Source organism: Homo sapiens, chromosome 18, assembly GCF_000001405.40.
Source record: "Homo sapiens chromosome 18, GRCh38.p14 Primary Assembly".
NCBI lineage: Eukaryota > Metazoa > Chordata > Mammalia > Primates > Hominidae > Homo > Homo sapiens.
In genome coordinates, this window is record NC_000018.10 from 12,785,233 (window position 1) to 12,804,598 (window position 19,366).

At 37.9% G+C, this 19,366-nt stretch overlaps 1 protein-coding gene across 11 annotated transcripts in view, besides 1 other annotated feature; it reads right to left on the minus strand.

Moving 5' to 3' along the window:
• PTPN2 (protein tyrosine phosphatase non-receptor type 2) overlaps nt 246-19,366 on the minus strand; it is a 98,760-nt gene continuing 79,639 nt past the window's right edge. For 6 of the 11 annotated variants that reach the window (XM_024451228.2, NM_080422.3, NM_001207013.2 and 3 more), the window contains 3 exons: nt 16,738-16,919; nt 9,152-9,253; nt 246-612 (listed from right to left, as the gene is read on the minus strand). In XM_024451228.2, the coding sequence (XP_024306996.1) occupies nt 591-612; nt 9,152-9,253; nt 16,738-16,919 (306 nt within the window). In that variant the 3' untranslated portion in view covers nt 246-590. Of the gene's footprint in view, nt 613-6,919; nt 9,254-16,737; nt 16,920-19,366 lie in introns of those variants that run through there. The other 5 variants (XM_017025884.2, XM_047437696.1, NM_080423.3 and 2 more) reach the window with 4 other exon arrangements.
• Nucleotides 18,343-18,522: an enhancer, noted in NCBI's record as "active region_13106". NCBI's record gives its function as "activates an Ori minimal core promoter by ATAC-STARR-seq in GM12878 lymphoblastoid cells {active_cell/tissue: GM12878}" and the evidence as "EXISTENCE:reporter gene assay evidence [ECO:0000049][PMID:35858748]".

Here is a 19,366-nt window from a genome sequence, read left to right on the forward strand (position 1 = left end):
TGCCTCAGCCTCCCAAGTAGCTGGGATTACAGGTGCCTACTACCAGGCCTGGCTAATTTTTTTGTATTTTTAGTAGAGATGGAGTTTCACCATGTTGGCCAGGCTGGTCTCGAACTCCTCATCTCAAGTGATCCACCCGCCTCGGCAGTATGTCAATTGCTTGTTACAGAAATTATAAACTCACAGGAAAATATTCATTATTTGAAGCAGAGCTGTCCTAAGATAATGCACACAAACCAACAAAAGACTATTTAACAAAAATATTTAATGCTGCCAAAAAGTATAAAAATACAGTAGGAATGGCAGTACAATACAAAGTAATCTCCCCTAATTTATTTCTTGTACATCTTTCTACATTTCATACACTCATTAAAAACACTTAACACATCCAATTAAAGGTTCTGCAAAGTCTTCTGCTGGTGGGTGCTCTTCATCCCCTGGATGTAAAGTTTACTTTGTAAACAAACAACTGTGAGGCAATCTAGAGGGTTAGCGAGCCTCACTTTAGTTTCCGGAGTGGGCTTCAGGTCTTGCTTTGCACATCAATGGTTCAAAATTTATAGCTGCAGAATATTCTCAAGTCATGAATATTAGGTGTCTGTCAATCTTGGCCTAAAACATAAAATAAGAAGTCATCTATTCAATTCATATTTACCAAACACACAGACGAACATAGATGCACACAAACATAAAAGGACTAACAATGAACTGAAAAGGTGACCAAAAATCATTCCCACATGACACATTCAACCACACTAAGTGCTGCACTGTTATCTTAGGGTAAAACGGCTGGGGTGCTGGATTTCCAAACGATGGTGGTGTGACGCGGCCTCATGTGGAAGCATCGTGACTTATATTCTTCTTCAAGAATTATGTGAATTCTTAAGGTCATCTTATTTTACTCAAGAAGTGACCTCTGTGTGATACCGACAGACAGACAGGTTTTAAAAATAATGTACCCACAAGAATTTAGCAAGACTTTATACTATGTGCTAGACTTACCAATACTTTGGAATTCAATGCAAAAGTCTAATCCAATTTGGACCTCCACTGTGTAATACTGCTAAAAATATTATCAACATAATGTTTGAACATAAAGTTGGCCTATATTTTTAAACCACAGGTTGTTAGCAGATGCTTTTTGTCCTGAAGGATAATACTAACAATTATATCTACCGAAATGAAGTGACCCAATCTTAAGCTACTACTAATATAAAATACATAATTGACAGATTTATTGTATTTTAATGCCATAAAGTAAAAATAAATGAGAATTCAAATAAGCAACAGATGGATGGAATGACTATTGTAAGGGCAGTTGAGTTTTTGATGTCACCTCCCAAACTTTGCAAGTAACAACTTTTTAGGAGGTCAATGGTATTTCCATTCTTCCCCCAACTCCCCTCAGTACCGCAAAACCTCCAAATCTAAGTACTTGTCAGTATTGTATCTTCACATATATATTAAGAAATAGGAAATACAAATCATATCCACACATTTAGTCAAAAACTCCCAAATGCTGAGAATTAGGCTACTCCCTTTAAAGACAGGGCACTTGGCATAATTGTACCAAGCACCTTGGTGTTCTGAACGTCCTTTTTTTCTCTGATTATCCAACAGTGACGGAGAAATGTCAAGTCATCAAGAAAACATTCTCATTAGATAATGTGAGCCCACAACTACTATGGGTGTTTATTACATGAATCTTCAGAATGTGAACCAAAGTGGCTGAAGGTACTTTGTATTGATTCTGAGTGCTGCAAAATATATATGTTTTCCATGCATCCAGAAGTCTTTTTAAAATAAGCAACTCAATTCAATCAAAGTGAATGAAGTAATGATCTGGTTTAGAGAATACTCTGATGTTCTAGTATTTCTCTGTTGCAGTGGTAGTTCAAACTGGTGCACAAAGTTTTTTAAATGTGCTCCATTTAAAAACTAGAGAATTACTTTGGATTTTAACAGGTAAGAGTGGTTGTCTATTACTTTCCCACTTAAATATCTCATTTAAATATTCCATTAAAAACAGAGTCCGTGTAACATAAAAGAAAAAGTATGAGGTTTGGAGTTACTGGAAGTCTACAGACTGCAGAGTGAATCTCAGTTCTGTCATGTACTAGCTGTGCAATCTTGGGCAAGTTACTTATTCTTTGACTCAGTTTTCTCATCTGAATATAGGGAGAATGCTGTTTACCTAGAAGAGGTGTTACGTGGGTTAAATTTAGATTATGTATTTAAGCTGGCTGGCAGAATTTTAAGTGTTCACCATACCTCATGTCCTTCCCCAGTATTTTGTTACAGATATACTTACCAAGAATGAACTATCATTTATAACAACTGAAGGACGGGGTTTTTAAAAATTCACGTTATTATTTCTTTGTAAATATTATTCAGGGTGGGGGGGTAAGAAAATACGGTTAAATCATTGGGAGGCTTAATTGTTTTAAAGACTTTACTTGCAAGACTGAAAAGACAAATGGGCTCCATTTTAGAAAATTCTAATAGATTCACTTGAATCAATTTTTGCTATTTTTATTTAAAAAGGCAAAGGCAGGAGAAACGGGTTCAAATAAGTCAAATGAAACAAACGTGGTGCTTTCTGTGGAGACAGTGGCTCTGACACACCACTTTATGCTAGAAAGGCGCAAGGGCCGGGTGGGTGTGGACAGAGGGTCCACTACCAAGTCAGCTCTATGCCTGAGGCCACGAAAAGCCAAATTGCACCAAGAATAGGTTTTGCCACCAGATATCCACACTAATATTCTACTAAACTGAATTGAGGCTAATCAGAAACTTCTCTTAAGGTGCAAAGATGCTCTACAGATGACTTACCTAGGTTCCCGCTCCTGAATTAACTAAACTCAAAATAACTGAAGTTTTTAACAGCAGAAATTTGATGTATCAAGAGCAACCTGTGTCTGAAAAATATGCCAAATTAGAGCCACAATAAAGAATAACTTGATGCGTCTTTAAAAAATGGTCTGTATAAAGAAAAAAATTCCTGTGCAATTCTTGGAGCTCCTCAAAACATACTGTATAACGTAAAACCAGAAAGTCGTGAAGCAGTTTCTGTAACATCTTCACCAAATTGCATAATTCCCACCTTCCATTCTAAATTTAAAAAAATAAAGTAGGAAGAGTTCAAAAGTTTGAACTTTTCAAATTCTCCCAATGGATCGCCCAGAGAGGGGGATCAGGGCTTTTTTTTTTTTTTTTTTTTAAATAGAGTGGGGTTTCACCGTGTTGCCCAGGCTGGTCTCGAACCCCTGGGCTCAAATGATTCTCCAGCCTCGGCCTCCCAAAGTACTGGGATTACAGGAGTGAGTTACCAAGCCAGGCCTGGTCAGGGCTCTTTGAAATGTTTTCCTTGTCAGACTGTTACCCTTTAGAGACAAGGCCTCACAAACCAAGTAAACACTTCTATCCATCACTCCTTACAGTCGGCGATGGCTTCATGCTGGGCTAAATAGTATACAACAGGAGAAAAGGCTCAGCAATGGCAGTGAGGAAAAATGCTCCCTTCCCTGAAGGACAATGAGTCTTTCCAGAACCCAGTAGACAGGGGAGACAGCCTTAGGAGAAAGCACATGTACAGCATTGCTCAATGCTGTTCTTGGAGCAATCTGAATGTGCTAAATATTCAGAAAATTCCTGCTGCCGAGGGAAAAATAACCAAACTCATACTATTTTCCTAGAAGTTCTTACTTAAATAATACTACCCAAAGAGGAGTGAAAAGCTTAAATTCTCAAATCTGGATGAACAACATAATGGCTGTATTGGGAGCAGGCACACAGAACATAGCCACTGAGTGTACAGTTTTGGAACTGGAGAGCTCTTGGTAGAGCAGGGATTGAGGAGTCCACACAATCTGAGCTGCTTTCCACCAAGGCATGTCACCCCTTATACATATTCACTGGAACAAAGACAGCTGTATTTTCTAGTATATCTGCACTTCTAGGGGCAGGTGGGATTACAGGAGTGAGTTACCAAGCCAGGCCCAGTCAGGGCTCTTGGCAATGCTGTCCCATAGACACTGCTTTGAAGATAGCTATAAGGGAAAGTGGAATTGAAACGAAACAAATGAACTGGGGAGAAGGATGAGTGGAACAGGTCAACTCCAGAGTAAACCATACAGGTGGTTTTTAAATCGTGAAAAAATACATTTCTATTCTTCAAAATTTTATTTATAAAATTCTAGGCCTCTACCATGTAAATATGCCAAAGCCAAATAAGGGTTTCTTAAAAGTAAAAGAGACTTCATTAGCTGTTGGTGTATCAATGGGAACGCAGAACAGGCATTTCTGCTGTGCAGTTAGTTCTGCTATGCACTGTGCGTCCAGCACAGCCAGGCGAGGGAGGACCTCAGACATCTCCCCTGCAGGGTGCAACAGACTGAGAGCAATCTATGCCCCGGCTACACATCACTGAGAACCCATGTGTGCACCTGCTAGAAAAACAGATAAACCAATGTTTATAGAACTGGAACTCCTGCCTGAACACAGAAAGAAATGGACTACATGCCTAATGACATTTGGCTTATAATAGACTACATTTTTAAAAAACATATATTTATAAATAATCTTTAAAATATCTTTATTTTTATATCTATTTTATATATCTCTCTGTATGTGTGTGTGTGTGTGTGTATATATATATGTATGTATATATGTATTATGAGAGACAGAGAGAGAGAGGGAGAGAGAGACAAATATACAGAGAGAGACAAGTCTCCTCTACTGCCCAGGCTGGAGTGCAATGGCTCCATCATAGTTCACTGCAGCCTCAAACTTCTGTGCTTATGTGATCCTCCTGCCTCAGCCTCTTGAGTAGCTGGGACTACAGGCACGTGCCAACATACCCAGCTAAATTTTTCTTTTTTTTTTAAGTAGAGACCCAGGCTGATCTTGAACAAACTCCTGGGCTCAAGCAATCCTCCCACCTTGGCCTCCCAAAGTTCTGGGAATACAGGTGTGAGCTACTGTGACCAGCAAAGATCTCTTTAAACATGTGTATCTGAAAAGTAAAAATCAAGGCAGGCTAGATTTTTAAGTCTGTACAACAACCAGGCAGGCAATTTGGGAATGTAGGTACTCATTATGGTATACAATAGTCAACCAAAACACTTTTAATACCACCAGGTTCTGGTCTGGAACTAGATATGTAATCTAGTCAGGGATATTTTTTCTCAGAGGGAAGTGAGTTGCAGTTGCAGTCTTCCTTTGATAATTATCTACTTCTAGGACATGTTACACATCTGAGACTTTTCAAAGACAGCACCATAAAAGGATGGAGAAATGCCAGTTTCAGGCTAACAATAACTACTTCATAAAATTGTGTTGAGGATTAAGTAGGGTAATACGTAAAGAAAAAATACAGTGTCTGGCATACAGTAAACCATCAATAAATGGTGCTTTGAACTGACTGTTGAAAGCAAAGGAGTTGATATAAAAACTGGAAGACTGTTTCATATCATAAACTGCTTTTTAAACCAATACACATTTTTCGATTCATACCACCAACTTTAGTTTAAGACAAAGAGGACAGGCACAAGTGCACATTAGCTTACAGTCAGAACCCCTTCTGCTGACATACCATTAAAAGAAAATGATTAACACATTTTTTTTCTTCCTTTCTCTTTTCTTGGTCATTCCTTGGTAGAAATATTAAAACAATAATGAAATGGACTAAGAACATAAAAGGACCAAAAGACAGAAAACCTCACAAATGTATAAAGTCTCCTCTAACACAAGAAATGGTCTAAAGTCCTCCATGTGCTTATTACATGTTACTTTTCTTAACCCTTTAAGAATGCAGAAAATGGGTATTTTCATTTTTATATGGATACATTAAACATGGAGAATTATATTTTTACATTCTATATATGTGCAAGCATAGATAAAACTCAGTCATAGGCTAACATAAAATAAATACTTGGTTAATATTGGAAAGGAATATATAACTTGTTGGTGTAGCTAGAGAACACAGCATTAAACCAAAGGTTGCTGTCAATCTATTAGCAGAAATAGATATGAGTGGAAATGAACTAGATATGAATTAAAAACTCCTGAAAATAAAAGAAACATTTTTTTTATAATTTTTTCTTCCTTAAGCAACACTACATCATTCAAGTCAAAGTATATATCTGACTCTTAAAATCTGTTAAAATTAGAAAATATTTAATATTATGAGGACCTAAGGATACAACAAGTTTTTTAAAGCTGTAGAACCCATCTAGAATTGCTAACTTTTTCCTCTGGCTGTTACCAGAGAAGGCAGCCACGTCTGTCTCTTTGACCAGCACACCTCATTCAATAAAAAGTCAGGACTTTTTATCATGGGCACAACACGATGTCATGTGTTTTCATGACATCCACCAAAAAATATTATTACTGGTAAAAACTGAACACTATTTAAAGCATCCACTGTCAATGCCCTTCTCAAGGATCTGCTCAGAGAAGGAAAGATGACTAACCTTAGAAGTGTACCAACAAGTGTTCATCACACTGAATGTGGTTTTAAAAATATATGCGACACCACCCAGAAGGACAGAAAGCATACAGAAAGCAAAGCGTAAGCCAATGAAGCGCATTCAGCCAGCTGAGGGGTGAGGCACGTCCTCTCTGGCACTGGCTTCCTCAAGTCTTCACCTGTGTACCGAAAGCAAGCCTAGTTTCAACTGGAAATGTCATAAGGTCTACCTGTATGTGACTTGCAGAGTAACATAAACATACTGCATTTAGCAAAGACAAACCAATGCAAACTGGAAAGAGGTTTTAAACCAATAACAACCTGAAATGTAAGGGTCTTGGATGCCTCAACACAGGTTTAATGCAGACAGACATAAAAAAATGTCCCTCTTACCTCCTCTCCATTTCAAGGTTACAGGACACAGTAATACTGAATCAGGACACAGGCACATGTTATATAAATCTTATTTAATATGTAGTACCACCTACATCCTGCTTTCATACTTTCAACATAATTTAACACATTCAAGGAGACTATGCAAATCAATTCAAAATATCTATCTATACCAATGGTTTTCAAACTTTTTTTTTTTTTTTTTTTGAGACGAAGTCTTGCTCTGTTGCCAGGCTGGAGTGCAGTGGTGCAATCTCGGCTCACTGCAACCTCTGCCTCCCGGGTTCAAGTGATTCTCCTGCCTTAGCCTCCCAAGGAGCTGGGACTACAGGCATGCACCACCACGCCCAGATAATTTTTGTATTTTTAGTAAAGAAGGGATTTCACCATGTTGGCCAGGACAGTCTCCATCTCTTGACCTCGTGATCCGCCCGCCTTGGCCTTCCGAAGTGCTGGGATTACAAGCGTGAGCCACCACACCCGGCCCAAACTGTTTTTTTTGTTTGTTTCTTTTGAGATGGAGTCTCGCTCTGTCGCCCTGGCTGGAGTGCAGTGACGTGATCTCAGCTCACTGCAACCTCCATCTCCTGGGTTCAAGCAATTCTCCTACCTCAGCCTCCTGAGTAGCTGAGATTACAGGTGCCCTCCACCATGCCCAGCTAATTTTTGCATTTTTAGTAGAGATGGTGTTTCACCACGTTGGCCAGGCTGGTCTTGAACTCCTGACCTCAGGTGATCTGCCCACTTCAGCCTCCCAAAGTGCTGGGATTACAGGCATGAGCCACCGCGCCCGACCAAACTGTTTTTAAATGATAACTGCCCCCTTTAAAATACTTAAGCCTTATGCAGAAATCTTATGTGGCATATAAAGAGACAAGGCAGAGATGCTGTGGTTGAAAGTAACCTCTTGACCCACCTGGACATCCAATGAGCATAGTTTGAAAACCACTGAAATAAGGTATGCTATCCATAATAATGTATGCTATCCATGCCTCCTAGCAATTAAATTTGTAACAACAATTTCAAGTTTAAGTAAGACAAATTAAACACTGAATGGAATGTTGAAATCTGAGGAAAGCTAGCATTCAAATGAGCAGTTAAATTCATTAAACAGTTTGCTTTAAAAAATATTCATTAAGTTAAAATGACAATGTAAGGTTTGCATATAATCATACTATTTATTGAAGTAGAAAGAAACTGAAAAGTGTTTACTTCAAAACTTCAGTCTAGTAAACTGAAATTATGAATCATAAAATGCTGCTTCTTACTTTTGCTTCCTAAATCATAATCTACCCCAACTACATTGAAATTTTCATGAAAAATAAACATATCAATAATGGGATTTACAGAAACCAATTTCTTTACAAAGTCTTGACCAACTGTTTACCTGACTATCCCAGTAAGGAGAATTTTCCTTCAAAGATATTTTTAGGAAAAACTTTTGTTTCTTTGTTTGCTTTTCTTTTTAAAATGGGGAAAACTGTAAAACATAAAAGAAATGCAATATATAGTAGAAATTGCTTATTCCAACTTCTAACTGCTCATATCAAACTTCTCTTTAGAAAAATGGAAAATGTATCCAGTACAATTCAATCGACATACAATTTATTTTTTTAGTAACAGATTTTTCAAATTGAGCTCTTAAAAAGTACAGTTAACTACAAAAGATTAAATAGATACTTATAAAATATATTTACCCTGAAATGCTTAAGAATAAAAGTGTTGATGCCCATGTCAATAGTACATTATACATTACACACATTATTTAAATGTCATTTTCTTTCCAATAACGTAGATAAAACCACAATATTTATTGCTTATATCAAGTGCAGGTTAAAATCCAGATAGCCTCCAAAAACAAATCCTGTGATAAAGGATATCTCAATGTTGGTCAGGTGAAATACTGTGTTTGACATGTATGAATACAGTTGCAAAATTTACCAGTTTTTAACAAACATGAATGTCTTTATTTTAGACAGCCATTTACAGTTTGGGGTTCAGAGGAACCTGCAGTCAAGAGTCCTGAGATGTTGGGCTTGTGACTGTAAATATCACTTATCTGGTTGATGTCTATTCTACTGCACCGTTTTTGGGATATGAGGCGTTTGCTGCAGACAAACCCCTATGATTAATGTAGCACTGTCAGTTACTAGTGCAGAAGCTTGCTGGGCAAAATTAATTGTTTATAGGGCATTTTGCTGAAAAAACAGTGTCCAGCCAACAAAAGCGCCAACCAAAATGACTGACATAAACCCCATCTTAGTGAGAATAGGTTGCCAATATAACCACCTTTTTCTTTTTCGTTCATTCTCATTTAGCCTCTGTTTCATCTGCTGCACCTTCTGAGCTGTGGTGGCCTTTCTGTCCTCTCGAATACGTTTCCGTAGAGCACTATGAGGAAATAAAAACAAGTGAAAGGAAGTGCACACAGAGCAGGACTTGAGTACTCTAACACAGAGGACCTAGGCGCAAATAAAACCATCCACATAGTTTTCACCCTATTTGAACACTGGAATAATGAGGGGAAAAGCCTCAATATTCTTTTGAGACAGCGTCTTGCTCTGTCACCCAGCCTGGAGTGCAGTGGTACAATCTTGGTTCACTGCAACCTCTGCCTCCCACGCTCAAGTGATTCTCGTGCCTCAGCCTCCCAAGTAACTGAGACTGCAGGCGTGCACCACTATGCCCAGCTAATTTTTTGTATTTTTAGTAGAGACAGGGTTTTGCCATGTTGGCCAGGCTGGTCTTGAACTCCTGACCTCAAGCAATTCACCCGCCTTGGCCTCCCAAAGTCCTGAGATTACAGGTGTGAGCCACGGCGCCCGGCCAAGAAAAGCCTCAATATTCTTTAATGATTCAGAGATGTACCTTGACAACCATTCCTGGTACAGTTTTATATTGATAACTGCTTTTAGTGGGACCTGAAAATAAGCAAGGTACTTTCTTGACACGTGAATTGATGACTGTTAGTTTTCTTTCCTTCCTTGTTAACTAGTCAGCAGGAGCAGGAGTGGGAAGACAAGGGGGTACCACTTGCATCTGATCCCATTTCCTGGTCACGTTTGATGGTTAAGGCTCTTATAAAAGCTAGCTATTTAATATTTCCATGAATATTCTGTTGTGGGAGCACTTATTCTTTTATTTGACCATACACATTTCTACCTCCCATTTTCATAGTCAATACAGAAATTTTTTTGGGGTGGTGGGGGAGGCGGGGTGGATGGAGTCTTGTTCTGTTGCCCAGGCGGGAGTGCAGTGGCACGATCTTGGCTCACTGCAACCCCCGCCTTCCGGGTTCAAGCAATTCTTCTGCCTCAGCCTCCCAAGTAGCTGGGATTACAGACGTGCACCACCACGCCTGGCTAATTTTTTTGTATTTTTAGTGAGATGATGTTTCACCATGTTAGCCAGGCTGGTCTTGAACTCCTGATCTCAAGTGATCCGCCCACCTCAGCCTCCCAAAGTGCTGGGATTACAGGCATGAGCCACTGTGTCCGGTCTCAGAAATTTTGTTTCAGTGGAAGGTCTCTGACTCTCAAGATACTTAGTTCTGGTTCTATATAAATAATAATGCCATCCAGCTACTCAGGAGGACGGCTTAAGCCCAGGAATTCAAGTCCAGCTTGTGCAATATAGCAAGTCTTGCCTCTCTATAAAAGCACACCCACAAAAACAAAAAAACGGCCAATGGCAACATATAGGTTACTATTTCTTCCATTCCCTCTTTTCACTTTTCTGTATTACAGCAAAGGCCTAACCAGCTTCCCTGCCCTCAAATTAAATATTATTGCCATGGTAATTTTTCTAGAGCATACCCCTGGACACGTAGCTTGATTTAAAATCTTTTTTTTTTTTTTTCGTTACCGGGCCTAGTGCACGATGGTGCTTAAAAATCTCAAATGCCTCTTCAATGTCTCCTACATTGAGACTACCTTTTTCCTGGCCAAGACGTTTAACCTGAATTTAACTATGATAAATAATGATTAAAGAAATGCATTGTATGGGGCATTCTAAAAGATATCTGGCCTAGAAGCTTCAAAAATACAAATGTCAAGCAAGGAAGAAAAAGGCAGGGAACAGTTCCAGATTAAAGGAGACCAAAGAATCACATCAACTAAATATAGTATCAATCTTTGATTAATCTTGAAATATTTTTTAAACAGCTACAGAAGTTGGGATCAGGAAAATGTTCTAAAATTAGATCGTGGTGCCAGCTACACAATTTGGTAAATATATTAAAAGTCACTGAATTGTATACTTTAAATGAGTAAACTTTATGCTATATAAATTATATTTCCATAAAACTTTATTAAAAAAGCTATATGGTGAATCTTTCAGACAAGAGAAATCTGAATTGAACTATGTATTAGAATATTTTAATCAATGTTACACTTCTTTGGTGTACTGGAACCTTCTCTCCCCAAGAGATTGTTAGTGGGAATGTAAAATGGTTCAGCTGCCACAGAAAACAGTTTGACAGCTCCTCAAAAAGTTAAACATAGAGTTACCATATGACCTAGCAATTCCACTCCTAGATATGTACCCAAGAGAACTGAGAACACATGTCCATGCAAACGCTTGCCAATATTCTCCTGCTATGCAGAACTTTGTTCTTGCCGTTTTTTTGCTGTTCTCCAAATTTGTTCCCCACTAAAATAGAAACCTTCCCTTCTCTCCTGTCCTCTCATTTCAGTTCTACTCTTCAATTATCTTGCTCCACCCCCTCTAGCCCTTCTATTCTTACGGCATTTAATTTGAAGTAATTTATAATTTACTAATAATGTGCTAACTTGGGTACTTGTTTTATCTTCATCACATATTCTGCAACTTGAGGACAGACTGGGTTTTGCTATCTTTGTTCATCTTATGGTGCTTTCTCATGTCTTTTTCACTTTTTGTTATCATATATACAGGTATCCCTGGCTGTCTGAACTCCATCTGAATATCTGCTATAATGACTTGCAAAAATTCTTACTCAGAATTCACTCTCTGAATTGAAAATTCACTATCACAAATATGCATGTACCTGTTAGTGAAAACATTTGTGTTCAAGTGTAGGCAAAATATGTATAAAAACAGAGAGGGGGTTAGCCTCCCATGGGCCCTTTATTAGCTTTTGCCAGGAGCCTGGGGGTATCGTTAACAAGGTTCCAATTTAGATATAATCTTTAACGTATTATTTCATTTTTTATTTTCATTGCGGTATAGAAGGCAATTATAATTTGTATCTAGTATTTTGTCATTTACCATACAAGCCCAATAATGAGTCCCTTAAGTGTTATATGATTACATAATTAGTGCTTTAAATGCTACATAGGAGTTTAAAAGGTTTTGTACTATATTTGGGGGAACTGGTTATGCTTTCTGGTTGGGCTGACAACACACTATTTTTCTCATTTAAAAGAATGGAACAGAGGTTTTTGCTTTCCAAAAGTGCACTATATAATTCAGGAATGGACTAGAGACAAATACCAAGGCATGCCTGTATCTAATTTAAGAACACAATTCCAGAGAATGACAAGACTACTCTCGATTTGTGATAAAATCTTTTCTTCCTTAGTGGGGCCTAAAGAAATTATGTCTGTGTAATGACTTGCCAAATGGGACCTGCCCAGGTTTTCCCGTATATTTATGCAATTTAGGATATTAACCAATGGGAATGCCTCCTGTGGACCCTTGCCCAGGGAAGATCATGTGGCGTGATCATAGCTCCCTGTAGCCTCAACCTCTTGGGCTCAAGCAATCCTCCCACCTCAGCCTCCCTTAAGACTACAGGCAGGTCCCACCACATTTGGCGGATTTTTGTATTTTTTGTAGAGACAGGGTTTGCCATGTTGCGCAGGCTGGTCTTGAACTGCTAGGCTCAAGTGATCCACCCGCCTCAGCCTCCCCGAGTGTTGGGATTACAGGCATGAGCCACTCTGCCTGCTCCAGACTTTTCGTATGTCCAAGTTGTTTCTCACTCTCAGTGATCTGGGTTTCTGGGTTGAACTGTAATTGAGAATACTGCCTTTCAAATTCAGACTGCAACCTACAGTAAGAAATAGCATCACAACAGAGTAACCTCACACACACACTTACATAGGTACACAATGTATATGTAAATATATGGAATTTATACATCACACATACATATATAAAAACAGGTTAAAATTCAAGTTCAGGGGTACGTCCATGTGCAGGCTTGTTACATAAGCTTGAAACTTGTGTCATCTCCGTGACATGTACAACAAGTTTTGTTGTACAGATTATTTCATCACCCAGGTATTAAGCCTAGTACCCATTAGTTATTTTTCCTGATTGTCCCCCTCCTCCCACCCTCCATCCTCCGACAGGCCCCCAGTGTTGTTCCCCTCTATGTGTCCATGTGTTCTCATCATTTAGCTCTCAATTGTTAGTAAGAACATGGGGTATTTGGTTTTCTGTTCCTCCATTAGTTTTGCTAAGGATAATGGCCTCCAGCTCCATCCAAGCCCCTACAAAGGACATGATCTCATTCTTTATTATGGATGCATAGTATTCCATGCTGTATATGTACATTTTCTTTATGCAGTCTATCATTGATAGGCATTTAGATTGATTCCATGTCTTTTCTATGGTGAATAGTGCTGCAATCAACATACGCGTGTGTTTACATCTTTACAGTACAATGATTTATATTCTTTTGGGTGTATACCCAGTAATGGGATTGCTGGGTTGAATGGTATTTCTGTTTTTAGGTCTTTGAGGAATCACCACACTGTCTTCCACAATAGTTGAACTAATTTATACTCCCACCAACAGTGTTTAAGCATTCCTTTTTCTCCACAACCTCGCCAGCATCTGTTAAATTCATGTTATTATTTGTGATATGCTGATAATTTCTATTTTATTCTATTTTCTTCTTTAAAAAATGTTTATAATCCAATAAACTTCACGACTATGTGATTTGACCTTCAATTTGAAAAACACTGCTTTGGAGGATGAATATCCTCCAAATGAATACAATGAAAATGAATACAAGAAAGTACTGTGTTCTATTTCTTTTGAAAGTTGAAATTCTGGCCAGGTGTGGTGGCTCATGTCTGTAATCCCAGCACTTTGGGAGGCTGAGGCGGGAGGATCACAAGGTCAGGAGTTCGAGACCAGCCTGGCCAACATGGTGAAACCCTGCCTCTACTAAAAATACAAAAATTAGCTGGGTGTAGTGGCGGGGGCCTGTAATCCCAGCTACTTGGGAGGCTAAGGCAGGAGAATTGCTTGAACCCGGGAGGTGGAGGTTGCAGTGAGCCAAGACTGCGCCACTGCACTTCAGCCTGGGTGACAGAGCAAGACTCCGTCTCAGGAAAAAAAAAAAGAAAAAAAAGAAACTTGAAATTCTTTTGATAAGACTTTTATGAGGATCTTTAATGCAAAGCTATCTATAGGTATTAAAAATTACTGGGACTGATTAAAAAATAAAACTGTTCAGAGTAACCTTTACTTCACACCCTGATCCTATGCTCTTCTTTTACATTTTTTTTTTTTTGAGATAAGAGTCTTGCTCTGTTGCCCAGTCTGGAGTGCAGTGTTATGATCTCGGCTCACTGCAACCTCCTGGGTTCAAGCAATTCTCCCACCTCAGCCTCCCAAGAAGCTGGGACAACAGGCGTTAATGCCTCTTTAATTTTTGTATTTTAAAATTCGTATGTCCAAGTTGTTTCTCACTCTCAGTGCCTGGTTAATTTTTGTATTTTCAGCAGAGACGGGGTTTCACCATGTTGGCCAGGCTGGTCTCAAACTCCTGACCTCAAGTGATCCACCTGCCTTGACCTCCCACAGCACTGAGATTACAAGCGTGAGCCACCACGCCCGGCCTCCTCTTTTTCATTTCTGTAACCTTGTTTTTGTAATCAGACTTCTCCGCTTAGAATTCTGACTTTTCTGTTGGGACTCTCTGCTTTCAAACATGCACCAGTCTCATTTATCAGACAGGGAAGGAAAAAAGGGAAAGAAGAAAACACCGCCACCACATGCGAAAACATGTACAGGCACATAAACACACACACAGACCCCATAAAACAGTCTTCTGCAATCACTCTATAACTCCTTAGAGTTATAGACTCTAGAGTGGTTTTAGTAGTCTCCTCTGTATTTGCAAGCTTGTATGAGTGATTTAACTCACTAGGATTAACATGGTTGTTCTGAATCTTTGTAGATTAAAACTCAACACTTCTGAAATACTAAGAATGCCATTTCAGTCATCAAGCCTGTTTTTCATTTAATTCTGCAGATAGTACTAGATAAAAGGGGGGAAAAAGCAGTAACACTAGGAATCTGAAAGCCTTATTATTGAAAAAGCTAAGGTAACTTAAAACTATTATTTCCTGATTTAAAGATATTCTATTTAAGATGAAAAAAGGAACCAAAAAAATTATGCTTTCTCTTGCAGTCTAAAACTACTGAAGTCAAAAATTGGGAATAACATTACTAAATCATAATAAACTCTTCCACTATAATATATAATAATACATGTATTATATATTGGAATATGTTAGCATTTATAAAATTTCAGGTATTTAATTTTTATATTAGGAAAATACAGCAGTAAAGCTATAATGTATGGCAGACTTCGACTATTTTCATTCCAATCTAACAAATATAACCACAAGATAAAATTCCCCATGATAAGAAGTATATTTGGCAAAAAGAGAAGAAGAAAAGTTATTCAGAGATGCAGGAGAGAGGAAAGAAAAACCTCATTCACTTTGCTATGTGACTTATACCAGGTTATCAGCTTCCTAATCTGTGAGAGACAGTCTTAGAAATGTAATTGTAATTTAAAATTCTGAATAGATGCCACATTCATATGGATTTTTAAAAAACGCCTTTTTCTTTCTCCAGTAATGCAATTAAGCTTACATGTTTAAATGTTTTATTAAAGGCATATTATCAGTTACATTATAATTATAGTACAAATGGCAGGTATTCATACTACTTATTTTCTGTACCATACCATATATTTTAGCACCCAATTATATTAACTTTTACACTCAATCATTATTGTTTTAAAGGATTTTTGAACTGGTTTCTAAGTATTGGCTGAAAGCTCCTTAAGAACACCTTTGTCATCATATACTAAATACCCTCAGGTAAGAAATAAAGGTTATATTAATTTGGCTGGGCACGGTGGCTCACGCCTGTAATCCCAGCACTTTGGGAGGCTGAGGCGGGTGGATGACCTGAGGTCAGGAGTTCAAGACCAGCCTTGTTAACATGGTGAAACCCTCTCTCTACTAAAAATACAAAAATTAGCTGGACATGGTGGTGGGCGCCTGTAATCCCAGCTACATGGGAGGGCTGAGGCAGGAGAATTGCTTGAACCCAGGAGGTGGAGCAGCTAAGGTTGTGCCACCGCACTCTAGCCTGGGTGACAGAGAAAAAAAAAGGTTATATTAATTCAATAAAAAAAAGGGCCTATATTATTTCATATATCATATCCACATAATTATTTATTTATTATTATTATTTATGAGACAGGGTCTTGCTTTGTCACCCAGGTGGGAGTGCAGTGGTGGTATGTCAGCTCACTGCAACCTCGACCTCCCCAGCTCAAGTGATCCTCCCACTTCAGTCTCCCGAGTGGCTGGGACCACAGGCTCGCATCACCACACCTGGCTAATTTTGTTTATTTTCTGTAGAGATAAGGTCTCACTATGTTGCCCAGGCTGGTTTCAAACTCCTAGACTCAAGTGATCTTCCCTCCTTGGCCTCCCAAAGTGTTGAGATTACAGGCGTGATTGTATTTTCCTAATATAAAAATTACATACCTGAAATCCTATGGCACCTGGTCCCATAAAATTTATTTTTAAAATAAAAAAGCCTCATCTTTCAGCCTGTAGTTATAGAAAGCTTACCTCTCACTGTTCTCCTCCATTGTATCTTGCATTTTAGAGGAAAGTCCTGTACATCGGTCACCTGTCAGTTTTTCTTCTTCTAGACCTATTCTGTTCCCATTGTATTTTTCAGTCATTATTTTGTTTGGTGAATGATCAAAGGCAGGAGATAAGTCTTCCTTAGAAAGTTCTTTCCATCGTTTCTAGGTAGGGAAGAGAAATGAAAAACAAATGCAAACATTAAAAATTTATTTTCCTTAAATAAAAAAATTTATGAATTAAAATCCTATATTCAAGTTAAGAAAACCCAATGATGCTAAAAGATGAGTGAAAAAGAAAAAGGCATTTTGCCATACTGTAGCTTGTAACAACTATGCTTATTTTAATTTCAAAATTTTATAATAAAGCATTTAGTATTTATGTACATGAGTATATAGTTGAATATAATAATCTTAATAAAATCTTGTGGACTTTTACCTATTTGAGACAAACTATACTGGGACCACACTCAACTATTAGTCACAGTAATATAATTTTAATATTGGTAGCCAGATCCATGAAACTCGACAGCACACTGAACACATTCAATGCAAAGAGGTCCTCTCTCCAAGGTACATTATAATAAAGCCATCAAAAGTCAGACATAGAGAATTCTAAAAGCAGCAAGAGAAAAGGATCAAGTCACATGTAAGGGAACCTGGCAGGTTGCTATTAACAGATTTCTCAGAAAACCTGTACACGCCAAGAAAGAACAGACTGTAGAGAATGGGATAATATATTCAAAGTGCTGAAAGATAACAACTACTAGCAAAGCTATCTTTCAGAAATGAAAGAAAAATGGAGTCTTTCCCAGACAAGCAAAAGCTGCAAGAATTTATTACCACTAGACTAGCCTTACAAGAAATGCTTAAGGGAGCTGCTTTGACTGGAAGCAAAAGTATAATTACTATCATGAAAATATATGAAAATATAATCTCACTGACAGAGGTAAATTAATTACCAAATTCAGAAAACTCCATTGCTGTAACTGTGGAATATAATCTTTCAAATCTCCATTATGAAGGTTAAAAGTAAAAAATGGTTAATGGTAACTACAGCTACAAGTTGTTAAGGACCACACAATATAAAAAGATGTAAATTAAGCAACAAAATTATAAGTTGTGGGGGGAGGGTAAAAGCCAAAAATATTTTATGAGACCAAGGTTAAGTTATTATCAGCTTAAAACACTCTAAGATGTTTAATGTAAGCCCCAGAGTAACCACAAAGAAAAAAAGTAACTACAGCAGACACACAAATGAGAAAGAGAAATAAATCAAAGCTTATCACTATAGAAAATCACCAAACCACAAAGGTAAACAATAAGAGAGAAAGAAAGGAATAAAGAATATGAAAAGCAAACAGAAAACAATTAACAAAATGGCAGGTGTAAGTCCTTATCTATCAATAATACCCTTGAATGTAAATAGATTAAATACTTCAATGAAAAGATACAGTGGCTGAATGGATGAAAAAACAAAAAACAAAATCCAACTCTATGTTGCCTACAAGACACTCACTTCACCTGTAAGGACACACTAAGACTGAAAGTGAAGGGATGAGAAATGATACTCCATGCAAATTAAAACCAAAAAGAGAAGAGGAGTAGCTATATTTTGATAAAATAGACTTTAGGTCAAAAATTGTAAAAAGAAACAAAGGTCAAAGGGGTCAGTTCAGCAGGAGGATGTAATGATTTTAAATATCTATGCACACAACACTGGTGCACACAAATATATAAAGCAAGTATTATTACATCTAAAGGGAGACATAGACTGCAATACAATAATAGCAGGAGAACGCTACATCCCACTTTCAGCAATGGACAGATCATCCAGACATAAAATCAACAAAAAAACATTGGATTTAAACTGCACTCTAGGCCAAATGGACCTAACACACATTTACAGAACATTCCCTCCAACAGCCACAGAATACACATTTTTCTCATCAGCACATGGAACATTCTCCATGATGGACCATATGTTAGGCCACAAAAACAAGTCTCAACAAATTAAAAAAAGAAAAAAATCACAATCAGGCCAGGTGGGTGGCTCACACCCAAGAACTTTGGGAGGTAGAGGCTGGAGGATCACCTGAGGTGAGGAGTTTGAGACCAGCCTGGCCAACATGGTGAAATGCCATCTCTACCATAAATTAGCCAGGAGTGGTGGTGGGCACCTGTAATTCCAAGTATTTGGGAAGCTGAGGCATAAGAATCACTTGAACCCGGGAGGCGGAGGTTGCACTGAGCCAAAATCATGCCACTGCACTCCAGTCTAGGGGTCAGAGTGAAACTGTCTCAAAAAAAAAAAAAAAAAAAAGAAAAAGAAAGTTCTCAAATAAACAACCTGATGTACCTCAAGGAACTAGAAAATAATAAACTAAACCCAAAATTAGCAGAACAAAGAAAATAATAAAGACCAGAAGAATGGAAATAAAGTGACCAAAAAAAAGAAACGAAAGATCAACAAAACCAAGGATCATTTTTTTGAAAAGGCAAACAAAATCAACAAACCTATAGCAGACTAAGAAAAAAAAAAGACTCAAATCAGAGATGAAAAAGGAGATATTACAACTAATACCATAAACAAAGTATTGTAAGAGACTATT